Source organism: Homo sapiens, chromosome 8, assembly GCF_000001405.40.
Source record: "Homo sapiens chromosome 8, GRCh38.p14 Primary Assembly".
Taxonomy (NCBI): Eukaryota; Metazoa; Chordata; class Mammalia; order Primates; family Hominidae; genus Homo; species Homo sapiens.
This window is the reverse complement of record NC_000008.11, coordinates 63,416,722-63,435,230: the sequence shown is the minus strand read 5'-3', so window position 1 is coordinate 63,435,230 and position 18,509 is coordinate 63,416,722. Positions and strand designations below refer to the sequence as shown.

General features: G+C 40.1%; 1 long non-coding RNA gene across 2 annotated transcripts in view; it reads left to right on the top strand.

The window, feature by feature from the left end:
* Nucleotides 1–17,308: 17,308 nt before the first annotated feature.
* The window catches only part of LOC105375875 (uncharacterized), a 33,098-nt gene continuing 31,897 nt past the window's right edge, over nucleotides 17,309–18,509 (top strand). For both annotated transcript variants that reach the window (NR_188107.1, NR_188106.1), the window contains exon 1: nucleotides 17,309–17,791. This is a non-coding gene — a long non-coding RNA (uncharacterized LOC105375875). The remainder of the gene's footprint in view (nucleotides 17,792–18,509) is intronic.

Below are 18,509 nucleotides of genomic sequence, written 5' to 3'. Positions count from 1 at the left end.
TTATTATTATTATTATTTTTGTCCCACACACTATGCAAAGACTGTCTCCTAAGACTGGATTTTTAGTGAACACTGAAAAGCCATTTTAGAGGGGAACAGGTTTCATTGAGAAAAGAACCTCTTGATCATTTGAACCCTCTAAATGAATCATGTGGGAGTCTAGTAGAAACGTTTATGAAGCTGGGAGAAGCTATACCACGGCCTTCAGTCTGAATCAGATTACCTTTTACATTGCCTAATCTTTCCTTTGGAAAACAGTACGAAGTATTAAAGAAGCCCAGTCTCAGCTGCCTCCCTTGGCCCCAAAAGCTTTCTCAGTGAGTAGCAGAGCACTGGCTCAAAGGGCAAAAGGATATTGTCTCTTTTCAGTTAGTACCGTCCCTTCTCCCATCAATAACTATTAATGCCTTCTTTTTGTATTCTCATGGTAGCAGTTCTAACATCTATCCCAGGCCTTATCTCCTTCTAATCCTCATCTCCAGTGAGACAGAGGGTTCCATCTGAATAAGAAAGATTACTATCTACCAATGGGAGTCAACTAGGTTTTATTTCCCGTAATCTAGAACTTGTTTTTAAGATGGCTCTTACAGCAGCACCTATAGATTTTCCCCCAAGAATGCCTCAGGAAGCTCAACATTGCTTAAGGACATATTTGGCCAAAACAATATTAGGAGGGTCTTTCCTCACATATCATCTCCTTTTGCCCTTCCACTCTTGTCATTCATACAACTTGGATTCTACTTAACCCAAGTCCAAATGTTTAATTCAAGTGGACACAGATCTGCTTTTTAAAATGTCTTTAAATTTACTGGATCTCTTTTACAAGCCCTATCGGTTGAGAAATGTATGTGATGCAGGGGTAGGGGGACAGTCAATAACTTAAAACTTCCTTCGGGTAAGTGCTCACTCTTCCCATGTAAAGCTAAAAGATTTCTGTTTCCCTCTTCTGCTCCCCTATAAACCAGTGTTTGAGTGTATGGGGGGACATGGTTTAAATGACCTGGTCTGGGCAGAGTTACAGCGTCTGAAACTGCATTTGGTGTCTTTCTGCTGTCACGTGGGTCCTCACTGTCAATTTCTACTTTGATGCTGTTGAATCAGATGTGTACTGTAGTTCTCTCTGTCTCTCTCTCTCTCTCTCTCTCCTTTTTCCTCTCCTTTGCTCCCTTCCTGCTCTTTTCTCTAGCTGTCTAATTTGAAATCTCTCTCTTTTTCTCTCAGGTACTATGATCATCCCTAATTATTTCGTCCACTTCAACTCTCCCCAGCTCTGAACGTTCCTTAATTCCTGGATGTGACTTCCAATTAATTTTGACCCAGGCAGTATATTCTACAATGCTTGACTTCAGGGCTACACTTTCCAGAAAGACCTCAAATCAGACTTTCAGCTAACTCCCTTGTGGAGAAGGTAGGTCCCAAACAAAACGCATGAGAACCAAAGTGGCCAAGATCTAATCTCTGAAACTCTGCTATCCAATCAGGATGTCAAGTATGCTCTACTGAAGCCATCCCCTCTGCTCTCCATATTCCCTGGTCTTATCCAGCACATACCTCCCTCAGGGTCTTCAACCCAGAAAAGAGAAACCAGAGCCCTGCCTCCCTTCAACACTGCTGTTTGGCATATCCCTGCACCACGTTGGAAATGCTCTGCTCAGGGCTTCTTCTAGGCTCTAGTGCCTAGAGTCTCGCAGGCCCACCCACCTGGGGAATCAGGTCACTTGCCGCTAGCACTGATGTTTTCTACATGCATGTGTCAACCCGAACGTTTCTAAACTGTCACTCTCATATCAAGTGTTGGAATTGATTAAAACCCTAGTGCCTGCTCTGCTCTCTCCTATCTGACTCCCTTTTACTTCTCTTCATTTCTCAGGTTAGGCTCAGCTTATTCTTCCACCAAAGCATCCATCTGCTAGGAGAGCAGGTTCCTTAGCCTAGAATTGCTAAAGGAAATATTTTCTCTACACTCAGGGTAGAAAATAAATGCTCACTGACTACCAGCTTTAGTTCTTAGTATGCTAATGCAATCTCTACACAGAACCTAGATTTTAAGGCAGTCTTGCTGCAAATCCTCTTTTAGATACTAGCTGGTAACTATTAATGTCTTCTCTTTGTATTCTCATGATAGCAGTCCTAAACTCCATCCCAGGCCCTATCTCCTCCTTATCCTCATCTCCAGTAAGATGGAGAGTTCCATCTGAATAAGAAGATTAAGCCATGAAAATGCAAAAGAGAAAGGGATATTAATGTACTTCAAATATTATTCCTCTTAATTAAAATAGGTGAGACAATGAGAAACATCTCCATGCCAGGAGTGCGCAAGAGCTGTCTGCAAAAAGATGTCTGTGGCCCCGGAAAGAGTTGCAGCCCAGTAAATCTCCTGAGAGGATCATGGCTTTTATAACACTATAAAAAAGGAGAATTCCACTGAGGGCAGCAAAAGGGCAGTAAAAAAAAGAGTTCAAGGTGATTGTTATGATCCCCTTTTAAGGATGTTTATCTCTGCTGCTTCCACTTTGCCTATCAACTATTACATAAGCAAATCAAGAGAGAGACTACTTAAAATATTTAAAATTTTTGAAATTAAAATTAAAGTGCAAGAGTTACACACATATAAAAAACCAATAGAGGCTAAAAAGTAAATTTAAAACTCAAAAAAAAATCAAAAATTTAAAAGGAGAAAACAGAAATTTGCAGAAATAATTTGTCATGCTGGGCTATATCACCTAAATTCCCCCTTCAAAAACTAAAGACTTTCTCCCCCACCTCCAGTGAAGGTTTTTTGCTGACTTCTCAGGTAATTGTCCCCATGAACAGAGCCAATTCACCCTGAGACAGCTGTATTCACTGTGGGGACATAAATCATTGTGGGAAATAAAGGCCAGACCCTGTTATGCCAACTGGAGAAAGCCCTAATCAACCATTCTAGTTTCAGAGCTCCCAAGAGTACGACAAGTTCTTGATTAGATGCATGAGCTTCAGGCAATGTGATATTCAGGGATCCTTTAATACAATTTGTAGGAGTACAGTGGTCTATGACATTTTGGAAAATGCCCATTAAGAAAATAACAAATTATCACATCCCACGCTGTCCAGCACAAAGAAGAAAGTACTATGCAAGGTAAAACTATTTATGTTTTAGAGGCAACATATTGCACCTGAGAATACTGCTCCCAATACCAGGTAGCACAGAAGGCTACCAGCTTTGAGAGAGACCTAGAGCAGGGGAGGATTCTATTTTGAGCAGGTTTTAGGCTCAAGTGCTAGCAGCCCTGATGTGTGAGCCATACAATGCATCCATAGCAGCCATATCCTATGATGCTAGAGGTATCCATTTTGGGGAAGGATACTGTGTGGAGTTTATGACAAGCTTCAACGGGAGAATTACAACCCAGACCTCCAGGGATCTGGAGCAAGGACATTCCATTTTCAGCAGAGAATGATGGATTACAGCAATCCATTGTAAAATGCAAGTGGTATAACGGAGATTAAGCATAAGCAGAAGTGAAGAGACAAAGCAGGCTGAACGAGCAGGTAACCTGGACCCCCATGTGTCCCATTGTTGCACCTGTGCCCCTTCCCTTACTAATACATATGGTTACATTTGTGGAGAGAAACAAAAATCAAGAAGAAAAAATAAAAAGTTCCGTTCATGAATAGGTCAGCTAGGTATTTGGGTTTGTTAAAGTGAACTAAAAATGGCCTGAGAAGGACTCCATACTTCTATATTTGAGTCCTTGTGGATGAACTGTAACCTAACTTAATAGGTAGACAAGATTGAAAACCTAACTTAGGAGTATATGCCTGTAATAATAGTCAGTCTTGGCCAATTCCAGTAGCCATGTTTCAACTACTCATACACCGTTGAGTGTTCAAACTGTATTCAAATAAGGCAAATGTCAACCTGCAACCAAGACAGTTGTTTCTCTATCTCACTTCCAATTTCTGCACACCATGCCTCTTATTTTGTTTATAAATTTGTTCTGACCACCAGGCATCCCTGGAATCTTTATGAATCTGCTGATTCTGAGGGCTCCCTGATTCACAAATGATTCATTGCTCAATTAAACTCCTTTAAATTTAATTCAGCTAAAGTTTTTCTTTTAACAGAAGATTGTTTGGAAAGCTAAGTCTTCCCTCTGTCATTAAGTAAATGTTTTCCTTTTTCAACAATTTTCAGTCATCATTTTGGCTAAATGAATGACTTATGGTTACCTGGAATTCTACTTCATAATATCAAGTGTTTTAAACTTTTAATATATTTGATAGGCTTCCCAAAATCCAATTTCAGCTTCCAAATTATCTTTTCCTTTTTTTCATCTCTTTATAGAAAACATAATTTATATGAAAGGGCTTTACAAATGAGTACATTTTTTATAATCTTTTTTTATTTCAATAGGCTTTTGTTGAATAGGTGGTGTTTGGCTACAGGAATAAGTTCTTTAGTGTAATTTCTGAGATTGAGGGGCACCCATCACCTGAGCAGTGTACGCTGTACCCAATATATAGTATTTTATCCCTCACCCCATTCCACCCTTTCCCTTGAGTCCCCAAAGTCCATTGTATCATCCTTATGCCTTTGCATCCTCATAGTTTAGCTCCCACTTATGAGTGAAAACATACGATGTTTGGTTTTCCATTCCTGAGTTACTTCACTTAGAATAATGGTCTCCAATTCCATTGAGGTTGCTGCAAATGTCATTATTTTGTTCCTTTGTATGGCTGAGTAGTATTCAATGGTATATACATATATATATATATATATATATACACACACATTTTTTTATCCACAAGTTGATTAATAGGCATTTGGGCTGGTTTCATATTTTTGCAATTGCAAATTGTGCTACTATAACGAATGTGCAAGTATCTTTTTCGTATAACGACTTCTTTTCCTCTGGATAAATACTCAGGAGTGGGATTGCTGGATCAAATGGTAGAGCTACTTTTAGTTCTTTAAGGAATTTCCATACTGTCTTCAACAGAGCTTGTACTAGTTTACATTCCCACCGACAGTGTAAAAGTGTTCCCTTTTCACCACATCCAGGCCAACACCAATTATATTTTTTATTTTTTGATAATGGCCATTCTTGAGAAGTAAGGTGGTACTGTATTGTGGTTTTGATTTGCATTTCCCTACTAATTAGTGATGTTCAGCATTTTTCCATATGCTTCTTGGCCATTTATGTATCTTCTTTTGAGAATTGTCTATTCATGTCCTTAGCCTACTTTTTGATGGAATTTTTTTTTTTTGCTAATTTGTTTGAATTCCTTGCAGATTCTGAACATTTGTCCTTTGTCAGATGTATAGATTGCAAACGTTTTCTCCCACTTTATGGTTTGTCTGTTTACTGATTGTTGTCTGTCTGTCGATTATTTGTTTTGCTGTGCAGAAGCTTTTTAATTTAATTAAGTCCCATCTATTTACCTTTGTTTAGTTGCATTTGCTTTTGGGTTCTTGGTCATGAAGTCTTTGCCTAAGCCATTGTCTAAAAGGGTTCTTCCAATGTTGTCTTCTAGAATTCTTATGGTTTCAGTTCTTAAATTTAAGCCTTTGATCCATCTTGTTGATTTTTGTATAAGGTGAGAAATGAGAATCCAGTTTCATTCTTCTACATGTGGCTTGCCAATTATCCCAGCACCATTTATTGAATATGGTATTCTTTCCCCACTTTACGTTTTTGTTTGGTTTGTCAAAGATCAGTTGACCATAAGTATTTGGCTTTATTTCCGGGTTCTCTATTCTTGTTCCATTGGTCTATATGCCTATTTTCATACCAGTACCATGCTGTCTTGGTGGCTAGAGAAAGTGACCAAAAAGGAGGAATTGCTAAAGTGAACTAAAAATGGCCTGAGAAGGACTCCATATTTCTTTATTTGAGTCCTTGTGGATGAACTGTAATCTAACTTAATAGGTAGACAAGCTTAAAAACCTGACTTAGGAGCAAGCCCCTCTAACAAAAACAGAGTCTTTGCCAATCCCAGCGGCCATACCTCAACCACTCATACATTGCTGAGTGTTCAAACTGTGTTCAAATAAGGCAAACACCAACCTGTAACCAATACAGCTGTTTCTGTACCTCACTTCCAATTTTCTGTGTGCCACTTCCCTTTTCCTGTTTATAAATTTGCTCTGACCATGAGGTATCCCTGGAGTCTCTCTGAATCTGCTGTGATTCTGAGGGCTGCCAAATTCGTGAATCGTTCATTACTCAATTAAACTCCTTTAAATTTAATTCAACTGAAGTTTTTCCTTTAACAGGTTCAAGCTGAAAATGGACAGCAGCTGTCCTATATGCCTACTTGAACTTTAAAGTGCCCCTGAAGGACAGTGCTGAGAAGGAATCCTCCAACTAGGCCTATTTTCAGGTGGTGCATTTGGTGAACTACTTTGAGTGGAAGGAAAAGTGGCCTGAAGTTAGCTCAGCATTTCTAAGAATGTATGGGCAGTTGCAAATGCCTCAACTGATTGGTCAGGTGCCTAGAAATAAGTCTATCAGAATATCATGGACTAGGAAAACTATAGTAGAGGTATATGATGAACCAAACAGGAGACATAAAGTGGGAAGATCTAAATATTACACGTTAACATCCCCTAGAGAATATCCACCATAAAAGAGCCACCAAAAAGCCAAATGGACACAAAGACTCAGCAAATTGACATCAGTCAGCCTCTGACACAAGGGGTGTATGAATGGAGCAGCTGTAGAGGCAGAGATGGATGCTATTAATAGGCCCAAGATCATGGGCTCCCACTTATCAAGGCTAATCTAGATTTTGCAGCTGCTGCATGTCTAGCCTGCCAGTAATAGATGCCGAGGCAGAGGCCCAACCACACACTGAAAAGAACAACTAGTCACAGGGTATCAGGTTGACTCTATTGGAGCCCTTCTGTCCTGGAAGGTATTTTATCGGGAATTGCCATATATTCTGGATATGGCTCAGTCTTTCTTTCCTGCAGAGCCTCAACTGAGGGCTTTGAGAGTGTTTGTTTCATCAACACAGCATCTCATATAACATCACATCAGAGCAAGGAACCCACTTGTCATCAAAGGACACATGACATGGTATCCCCTGTACCTATCCCATGCTACCCCTCCTAGAAACTAGCTGCTGGACTAGTAGAGCAATGAAATAGCCCATTAAAGACTCAGCTGAGGCACCAACAGATATGATATCCAGTAAGGACCGTGTCATCCTCCAGGACACATTATAGACACTAAAACAATAACCATTATGTGGTGCTCTATCTCTATTAAGAATATATGGGTCTTGGAAGCAAGGGTTAGAAGCAGGAGTGATCATGCTTACCATCACTCCCAGTGGCCACTCAGGGAATTTGTGCTTCCTTTCATCTTAACCCTGAGCTCCATGCATTTAGAGCTTCTGGTTCCCAAAGAGATACACCTCCATGAGGGACACAGGAAGAGAATTTTAAGCTGCTGCTGCCATCTCATTTCAGTCCCCTTGAGTCAAGGGGACAGCAAGCAAGAAGACTTGCCATCTTGGCAGAGGCAGTTGACTCCACAGGCATAGTAACCAGGTGCTAGCATCCCTAAGAGAAAGAGTCTGTGCCCTTCATGAGGTCAACCAATAAACCACCCATCATAAAAGTGGAAGGTTAGCAAAATCTAGATCTAGATCAGTTCATAAAGGAAGGAAATAAGTATCGGCTGTGGACTCAAGACCACATGTCTCAACAGGGCCACTACCTTTTCTTCCAAGTTTTTTATAGTTTCTCCCAAGAAAAGAGACTATTAAACTCCCAGAGGAGCTGCTTTGAGAATGTAAATGAGTCTAGTAGATACAACAGTACTGGGGTATACAACCTTGAGTACTGTGTTATGAGCCAATCAGATCCCGCACTGAGGACTAGAGGGCTTGTTCCCCTAGCTTTGGGAATGCTTGTTGATGAACAGCTCCTAGCTGTCAGCCTTCTAGAAGGAACTGCCCCAGTTGAAGAGAGACACAGGCCCAAGGGCTTCCCAGGGTAGCCTGAATTCCATAACTCATTGACATGGAATCTATAAAGACGCAGCCACACCCATCTTGTGGCAACTCCAAAGAGTAATCCCAAATACTCTTCTAATCTCCTTTTTGGTGATTGGTACCCAGACATAAACCTGCAAGCTATCTTCTAGGCCTTCCTCTCCCAACCCCCAATAGTCAATGAGTGATTTCCATGCCCCAAACCCTATACCAAGTGCTTTGCCCTCATAGCCTCCTTTACGCTTCCCCACTGCCCTCTGAGACAGTGACTGATATTATTTCCACTTTATAGATAAGGGCAACCCAATTTGGAGATATGGAGTAAGTTTTCAAAGTCACACAGCTAGTAAGTGAAGAAAACATTAACTTCTTTTTTTACTATTATTATACTTTAAGCTCTGGGGTACATGTGCAGAATGTGGAGATTTGTTACATAGGCATACATGTGCCATGGTGGTTTGCTGCACCCATCAACCCGTCATCTACATTAGGTATTTCTCCTAATGCTATCCCTCCCCTAGACTCCCAAACCCTGACAGGCCCCAGGTGTGATGTTCCCCTCCCTGTGTCCATGTGTTCTTGTTGTTCACCTCTCACTTATGAGTGAGAACATGCAGTGTTTGGTTTTCTGTTCTTGTGGTAGTTTGCTGAGAATGATGGTTTCCAGCTTCATCCATGTCCCTGCAAAGGACATGAACTCATCCTTTTTTATGGCTGCATAGTATTCCTTAGTGCATATGTGCCACATTTTCTTTATCCAGTCTATCATTGATGGGCATTTGGGTTGGAAACAAGTCTCTGCAATTGTGAACAGTGCTGCAGTAAGCATACATGTGCATGTGTCTTTATAGTAGAATGATTTATAATCCTGTGGGTATATACCCAATAATGGGACAGCTGGGTCAAATTGTATTTCTGGTTCTAGATCCTTGAGGAATTGCCACACTGTCTTCCACAATGGTTGAACTAATTTACACTCCCACCAACAGTGTAGAAGCATTCCTATTTCTCCACATCCTCTCCAGCATCTGTTGTTTCCTGACTTTTTAATGATTGCCATTCTAACCAGCGTGAGATGGAAGGTCATTGAGATTTTGATTTGCATTTCTTTAATGACCAGTGATGATGAGCATTTTTTCATATGTTTTTTGGCTGCATAAATGTCTTCTTTTGAGAAGTGTCTGTTTATATCCTTTGTCCACTTTTTGATGGGGTTGTTTGTTTTTTTCTACCAAATTTGTTTAATTTGAATAAATTTTCTCCCATTCTGTAGGTTGCCTGTTCACTCTGATGATAGTTTCTTTTGCTGTGCAGAAGCTCTTTAGTTTAATTAGATCCCATTTGTCAATTTTGGCTTTTGTTGTCACTGCTTTTGGTGTTTTAGTCAGGAAGTCTTTGCTCATGCCTATGTCCTGAATGGTATTGCCTAGGTCTTTGTCTAGGGATTTTATGATTTTACGTCTTATGTTTAAGTCTTTAATCCATCTTGAGTTAATTTTTGTATAAGGTATAAGGAAGGGATCCAGTTTCAGCTTTCTGCATATGGCTAGCCAGTTTTCCCAACACAATTTATTAAATAGGAAGTGCTTTCCCCATTGCTTGTTTTTGTCAGGTTTGTCAAAGATCAGATGGTTGTAGATGTGTGGTGTTATTTCTGAGACCTCTATTCTGCTCCATTGGTCTATATATCTGTTTTGGTACCAGTACCATGCTGTTTTGGTTACTATAGCCTTGTAGTATAGTTTGAAGTCAGGTAGCATGATGCCTCCAGCTTTGTTCTTTTTGCTTAGGATTGTCTTGGCTATGTGGGCTCTTTTTTGGTTCCATATGAACTTTAAAGTAGTTTTTTCCAATTCTGTGAAGAAAGTCATTGGTTGCTTGATGGAAATAGCATTGAATCTATAAATTACTTTAAGCAGTATGGCCATTTTCACAATATTGACTCTTCCTATCCATAAGCATGGAATATTTTTCCATTTCTTTGTGTCCTCTCTTATTTCGTTGAGCTGTGGTTTGTAGTTCTCCTTGAAGAGTTCCTTCACATCCCTTGTAAGTTGGATTCCTAGGTGTTTTATTCTCTTTGTAGCAATAGCGAATGGGAGTTCACTCATGATTTGGCTCTCTGTTTGTCTGTTATTGGTGTATAGGAATGCTTGTGATTTTTGCGTGCTGATTTTGTATCCTGAGACTTTGCTGAAGTTGCTTATCAGTTTAAGGAGATTTTGGGCTGAAATGATGGGGTTTTCGAAATATACAATCATGTCATCTGCAAACAGAGAAAATTTGACTTCCTCTTTTCCTAATTAAATACGCTGTATGAGGTGTCTGTCAGCCCCTACTGGGAGGTGTCTTCCAGTCAGGACACACGGGGGTCAGGGACCCAACTGAGGAGGCAGCCTGTCCCTTATCAGAGCTTGAACACTGTGCTGGGAGACCCACTGCTCTCTTAAGAGCTGTCCGGCAGGGACATTTAAGTCTGCTGAAGCTGCGCCCACAGCTGCACTCTTCCCTCAGGTGCTCTGTCCCAGGGAGATGGGGGTTTTATCTATAAGTCCCTGACTGGGGCTGCTATCTTTTTTTCAGAGATGCCCTGCCTAGAGAGGCAGTCTGGCCGCAGTGGCCTTGCTGAGCTGTCGTGGGTTCTACCCAGTTCGAACTTCTCCCCGGCTTTGTTTACACTGGAAGGGTAAGACTGCCTACTCAAGCCTCAGCAATAGCAGACACCCCTCCCCCCACCAAGCTTGAGTGCCCCAGGTCAACCTCAGACTGCTGTGCTAGCAGTGAGAACTTCAAGCCAGTGGATCTCAGCTTGCTGGGCACCATGGGGGTAGGACCTCCAAGCCAGTCACCGGCGGGAATCTTCTGGTCTGCTGGTTATGAAGACCATGGGAAAAGCACAGTATCTGGGCCAAAGTGTACTGTTCCTCCTGGTACAGTCTCTCACAGCTTCCCTTGGCTAGGAACAGGAAATCTCCGACCCTCTGTGCTTCCCAGGTGAGGTGACGCCCCACCCTGCTTCAGCTCACCCTCCGTGGGCTGTACCCACCTTCCAACCAGTCCCAGTGAGATGAACTTGGTACCTCAGTTGGAAATGCAGAAATCACCCACCTTCTGCGTCAATCTCGCTGGGAGCTGCACACCAGAGTTGTTCTTATTTGGCCATCTTGCCAGCAAGAAGCAGAAAACATTAACTTCCGTCTGCTCTAGAATCCCTACTCGGCCAATTCCCCGTATGGTATCTCCCCTTATTTGTTGTTCGACTTTCCTTGGTTTCAGTTACCTATGGTCAAATGCCATCCAAAAATATTAAATAGAAAATTCTAGAAATAAACAATTCATAAGTTTTAAATTGTGTACTATATGAGCACCATGATGAAATCTCATGCCATCTCATTTTATCCTGCCTGGGACATGAATCAGCTCTTTGTACAACATCTCCATATTGTAGACCCTATCTGCCCATTAGTCATTTATAGTTCATCTCTGTTATCAGATTGAGCAAACATAGTATATATAGGGTTCAGTACCAAGCACAGCTGCAGGCATTTACTCGGGGTCTTGGAACATAGCCCCCACAAATAAGGGAGGACTACGGTACTTTTTTGCATCAGAAAAGCCAACATGTCCCTATTTTTTAATTGGGCAACCTCACCCAGTTATTTTTAGAGAGTAATATTAATTATCCAAAGACAATTTTTTAAAAAAATTTCCTGCTTGCCACAAGGAACAGAGAGGTTCATTCAAGTTACCTCATGCATAGTTAACCTGGTATTTATGCTAACTAGCAATGGAAACAGGGATCTCTCAGTATCTAGAAACAGACATGCAGACAGGCCTCTTGGGGAGGGAATCCAATTTAGGGACAAAATGGATGATTTTGATCCAACAACTCCAAAAGCCAGCTTATCTCAGTGCTTTCCAGCTGTACTTTGTTATGTTCACTGCACTGATGTTCATCAGTTGGCATGGCTCAGCTCTCTCTCTGTCTTTTATTCTTCCTGGGTATATCTTTCCACGTGTACTCGTACTACTGATTCCCTCTCCTCTAGATCAAATTCCTGAGGGTGATTGCCTGCCCTTGGGGAAGTTCCGGTTCAATAAAATTTGGGTAGGATTAAGGGGATAGAGGGAACTGGACACTGTGGGTACAGGAAATAGCCAGAAATGCCCAAAGACCACCTGGGAAAAGAGCCTTCAGCAGATGATGGAGAGTAGGAGGAAGGCTGAGGACAAGGCAGGCCTTTTGAAATTTGCCCCCATGGAAGATACATCAGGGACCGAGCTCATAGTGAGCTCTTTACCACTAGAGTAATACTTTCCCTCACCTATTACAAGAAATTACTTATTTCTCTTTTTTCTATCCTTACTGGTTGCTGCAGTTTCAAAGCATGATGTAGATAGGGCAGGACTTCAAATGTGTTTCTTATGTAGGCTTAGAAATATGACTGCTGAAAGGAGCCATGGAGTTGCAAACTCTAGGATTGGCCTCTGTGGGAAATATGACATTAGGAAACAGTCTGCTTTCTTTACAGATTGCACTAAATATAATCAATATTAGAGGAATTATATGATCTGGTCGTTTTTTTAGAAGGATAATCACAACAGTGGGGGTAATGAGATGTTGAAGGGAAAGGGATGAAAGAGCAGTTAAGATGCCTTGCAATCATTTAGATGAGAGAAGGTGAGGGTCTTACCTAAAAAAAAAAAAGACAATGTAAATGGAGAGAAGCACAATGCTGAGGTATTTATGGTCGGGAAAAATTAAGGTGCTGATGAAAATGAGACTATGAAGTGAGGTGGAGTGGGTGGCAGGAGTAAGATAAGATTGGTGAATTTAGAGATTTGAGCAGCTTTAGTTAAGGCAGGAAGTACAAGTGGAGCAGAGGATGGATGTTTTTGTGGGGAAAGGATTATGTATGACACATTTGATTTTGAACACATTGCATTTTAGTTTTCTTCAAGTGATTCATGTGGAACTTTCCAGAAGGAAGTGAAAATCTGTATCTGGAGCTTAGAATACAGGTTGGAACTCGTCATATACATTTGGCAACATGTGGTCTATTCTAGCCTTTCCACTTTGAATATTACTTTCAATAAAGCAAGCAAGCCAATGAGAATGTGCATGTCTGTCTTTCTGTGATCATCTCTCTCTAATATAGAGGTTATCTCCTTTCTCTTAATTCTTAAAACATGCTGAATTGCTGAGGAAACAGAAAAGCCAATCCCAAAAGATTACACACTAAATGATTTCATTTGTGTGACATTTTTGAAAAGACAGGAAAATACAAAATTTTGGCAATGGAGAAGAGATGAATGGCTTCCCGGGCCTCTTAAGAGGGCACTGAAGGGAAGTGGTAATGGTGGTGAGAGGGCAAAATGGAGGAATTCCTTGGTGATAGAACTGTTGGGCACCTTGACTGCGGTGGTGACCCCAGGAACCTTCATATGTGATAAAATTGTATATAACTAAACACACGCACATTAATACAAGAAAAATTGGAAAAATCAAAATGAAGATTGTTGGGTTATATCAATGTTTTTTTCCTGGTTGTGATATTATAATATAGCTTTCAAGATGTTACCTATCATTAGAGGAATTTCAGTAAAGGGTATACTGGATCTCTATTATTTCTTACAACTGCATGTGAATCTAAAATTATCTCAAAATAAGTTTAATTTTTTTAATATTGAGGCAAAATAATTTTTAGGGAAAAAAGTGTGTTTTCTCCCATGTGTTTTCTCCTTACCATTTCTCAGTTTACTTCCTTGATTCAGGCAAGGTTTGTGGGTAGCTTGTGTAGACAATAGGGTTTGAAGAGAAAGGAATATCCCCCAAGTCTAAGAACAATTTTCCCTCATTGGGATAGAGTGGGGTGAGAGAAGTTGAGAAAAAAAGAGAGAGAGAGAGAGAGATTGAAGAGTCCTTAGAGGGCATGAGACAACTGGGACAGAAATGCTTCAGCAAAGGTTCTTGTTACTATGACACATTGCTTGAGGAACCAGGAGTTAAATGAACCAGGATCATGAGCCGTGGTCCACAAACTATCTGACCTTCTCAAAGGTGAGCACAACCCAGCCTTATCCTATGCCAGCTCTCCTAAGCACCTGTGGCCAATGAAGGGCATCCCTTGGTCAGCAGCCAGCACTATTACCAAGCAAAAGGGTTCACTGCCTGATGCACATAGAAACCAATACTATGGTACCGGTTTCTGAGAAAATAAAGGCCTTATTGTGAGATTGACCAGCAAGGAAACAGGAGGTGATGCTCAAATACATCTCTCTTATCTAGGGTTTGGGGCAAGTTGTATGGGTTAGGGAAGTTTTATGGGTTAACCTGTACAGGTTGCTATACAGATGCACTGGCAGAGCAGGTTTTGATTACAAGAACTTCAAAGACTATTTATGGTAAGGTATGGGGAGGGTTCTACTCACCAGACATTCCTACAAAACAGAGCCCTTGCTTTTAAAAGAGGTCAAAGTTTCCTGTCCATACTCTTACTGTTAAATTTACAACTTTTTAGCTCTGTGCTTGCAAAATAACTGGGCATTCTGTTATCAACAGAATATGACCAGATAAGACAGATCCGGTGGTTATAGCACCTTATCCAGTGACTATACAAAGTAATACTTATCCATAACTTGATATTTTCTTGTCCCTGTCCAAATTACCACCACAAAATTCCAGCATATTTATAAACCCAAATAAAAGAGATGAAGCCTGTAAGTCTAGTGAATGGTGCTCCTTGAAGGAGATGTTCTTCCGCCTATAATATTTAGGAAATGATGCTAAACAGGGTCAGCTTGCGAGCCAACTTTCCCACCCTCCTTGAACTGCTTCAGCCCAGCTTTAGTTCCTTTCTGTTTCTCAAGCAGTCATCTTATGCCTGTGAAAATTCTAGATTTTAGTTTTCCTATCATCTTTTATGCCTTTTTGATATTGAAGTCTAATATTAAAGCAATATTAGTGGATTTCTTACAAAACTAGACCTCAGCAGACAGCATTTCATGCAGCTACATTGATGTCTTTTTATATCTCTACATTTTCAAGTACATTGGGGCTATATTTTGTTTTCTGAATTTCTATGTTTGGAGCCTTCTACCTATCTTAAGCCACATTCTCCCCCATAAACACCTGCCAATCAGCTATACTTTTCTTCGATTTTGTTTTGATTTGGGTTTTTTCAACAAAAATCTATATGTCTGATTATTCTGGGAATTATCTTATATCTTTCTTATTATGAAATCTGAGATGTCTTCCATTACTTCTGCATCACCAGTGAGTTCTTCCTTACTAGTAAGAATTAGCTTCAATGTTCTACATATTACAACTTCTCTCTTCTTGGAGAACAAAGTCTCATCAAGGCAATTGAAGCATTTATCAAAGCCCTGCTTTTAGCAAAATAAGGCTTCCAGCAGATGTCTGGATAGTTCAAGTTTCCTATCACAACCAGATCATATTCCTGCACCTGTTTTATAATCTGTATGAGGAATGCATCCTTCCCTCCTCTCACTGTCCAGTCATCCACAGTAGTGACATCACATCTGTTTCCTTCTCAATTTACCCTCAACCAGATGTTCTTAACTGTGTTTCCAAAATCAGTTCATTAACTTTTTCTGGAAGAAACTTCTTAGAGACAGCAATACTTTCCAATTATTTCTATTAGGTGTTATTTCTTTTGTCCATGTTTAATGTCACTTTCATTGCCTTTTATGGTATTGGTGATTTTTATTAGCACATGTGTATCCATTTGTGGTAAATTCTTCATTTATTTCATTACTCCATGAAATAGTGTGTAGGTGCCTGTAATCGTAGGTGGTAATCGTGACCTTCCTGTCTGTTTCACACCCTGAAAGTAATTAAGTTCTTTCTCATCTAAAAGGGAAAGCAATCTCACAACAGTAATTCTTGATGATATCAAAACTGTATCAAGTTCTCTGTGGAAATTTTTCTTCTTTACCCTCAATTTTTACCTTTCAGAGACCTTTTCTAACAGGTCAGTGAGACTCTTGTTAAATATGTTCTTGTCTGCAAATTGCCCAATGAGTCATTATGGACTGAGTTATAAATACTAAGAAAAATCATTCTCATGTGAATCATTGTTCAACTTGTTTGGCAGTGAGGATGCAAATTTAAATGAAAGAGAAAATTCTCCCATTGCTCTTTGTGGCTCTAAGCAACTAATTCTGACAGGACAAACTGCATTATGTGGGTGAGGCAGAATTTTTAAATAAAAATGTTTTCATTGTTTTTAGTTCTTCTCCCCCTTTTTTTTCATTTTGAGACATGCTTTATGAGATGAGTAACAGCACTGTACAAGCTTCTCACAGATGTCAATGATCCAAAATAATATTTTTTTAGTGTAATCTCTATGCTTAGCTTCCTCATATTACTGCAAAAGATACCCCTCCACTCCAAAACGTCTAGTTTAATGACGGCTTCCAGAACACAGGGTGATTAGTAGAGTTTTGTTTTGGTTATTTATATGCTTGTTTTAAACAATGTTAAACAAAAAAAGATCTCTTCTGTTAGTATTGAGTCCCATTACAAATATTTCTTTCAATCCTATGATACAGCAATAGGGGTGGCCGTTCTAAAATGAGAATGTTGCTGATATCCAGATACAGAACTGTTTCCAGAAAGGAGAGTCCCCCTGGTGGCCAATTTTTTCCTAAGAAAATTCCTGGTAACAACTACATGACAGGGAAGTTAGAAGCTCAAATAAACCAAGCCTAAGGTGGCCAGTGCATAACACCTTAGCCGTGCAAGTCATCTGTTCTCAAGGAATATATGGCCAAAGCACAGCAGGAAAGAACAACAGAAAATAGGAATATGCAGAGAACAGACATAACGTAAATATAACTTAAATTGCAATTAATGAATAGCAGGGAAAACATCAAAATCAACAGTGTGGTGCAAGATAAGGAATGTAACCATAGGAAATAGAAAAGTTGCAAGAGGTAAATGGCAAAAAGGAAAAAATTAAATAGAGTGCAAAAATACCTGTGTCAATAAAGCCATAGTTGCCACTGGTATTTCAAGCCTAAGATGGAAAAAATAACACAAAGGTGGGCTTCCTGGGCCCTTAATGGCTCAGGATGGTAGGAAATAGACTAAGTGAAGACAGGTAGTTCCAATGAGAGAGGGGCAGGAACACAGCAGTCCAAACTAGAAGATCCAAAGAGGTATGGTACACATTGGCTTGGTATAGAAGAACTCCAATGGCCATAGAAATTCAGTCTCTGAGGTAGGACAAAGCAATAGAATGTTGCAAGCAGAAGTGAGGCCATGTGTCTAAGAACTCAGTTCACTCCTTGCATGACACCAAGCAGCAAGTGTAATTGAAGGGAAATGCTCTATCCAGATACCAAGAGGACTAGTCACGAGACCAGGCCTCAAAACAGGAAAATGGTTCCAATGGAGAAGTAGAGTATGAGTCAAGAATTGAGAGATGAGCAATATACATTAGCATTATAAAACACTAAAGAAAGTATACATGCCTAGAGCCTCTGAGGCACACTACAAAGAAGATGACCTGAAAAGTGACTGCTTACAGGGTCCACATATAGGTGACATGAAAGTTCCCTCAGCCTTGTCAGTATGAATGAGCCTGTAAAGTGAAGATGAATGAGAAAGGGATTAGATGAGTCATCTGAGTCTGTAAGGCCCTTGCAACAAGAGCATGAAGATGATAAAAGAGGACAGAAAGGGAACAAGTTGGGTGAAAAGAAAACAATGAATTAGGGTGAAAAGATCAAGCCAGTGACCAAACTCTCTACAACTAGAAAAGACTTATCAGTTTCTCATGTAAGTCTATTATCTTTACTCCAACTCATCTTTTCCATATTATTTAATTAATATACATAGGAAAACTGTTTGGTAAAATCAGAAAGTACTTATTCATAGGTAATTAGTCTTTTGGTAAGCAAATTACTACTTGTTTAACGTTCCAGTTAAGAAGCCAAATAAGATATCATTTACATCAAAAATGAAAAAATAAGGGGGCATCTACTTTCTATAATAACGACCTGGGAAACTCAGACCATCCTTCCTTCTGAGGACGCTGAAAAAAACTGAATCCAAGAACTAACAACATATTAAGGAACTGCCAGGTGGTGACCCAGCATGCTAAGAACACAGCAAGGTGAGAAATGCACTCAAGGCCACTTTTGCTGATTAAAAAGGGGAGCCTAAGGGATTCTGATGGATTTTTGGTAAACTTCTAGGACTAAAGGTGAAAAGTCAAGGTCTTGATCTGCCAGGATAGTAACCTTGGTAAATAACCTCCCAACCTACTTTGAGCCAAGGCTCCTAAAAGCTGTATCCATCCCAGTAGTAAATGTTAACAGATTAAAACTAGCATTGAAAGAGTTTTAGAATGTCTTCTTTCATCTGGATAGCCCAGGATATTTCAATCCTTAAACATGGATTAAAGTTATCTTGAAAGGCCAGCACATCCACGCACCTGGGAGGCAAATACAAATCACCTAAGGAGGAAGATACCCTCATTCTTGTCCTCAAATTA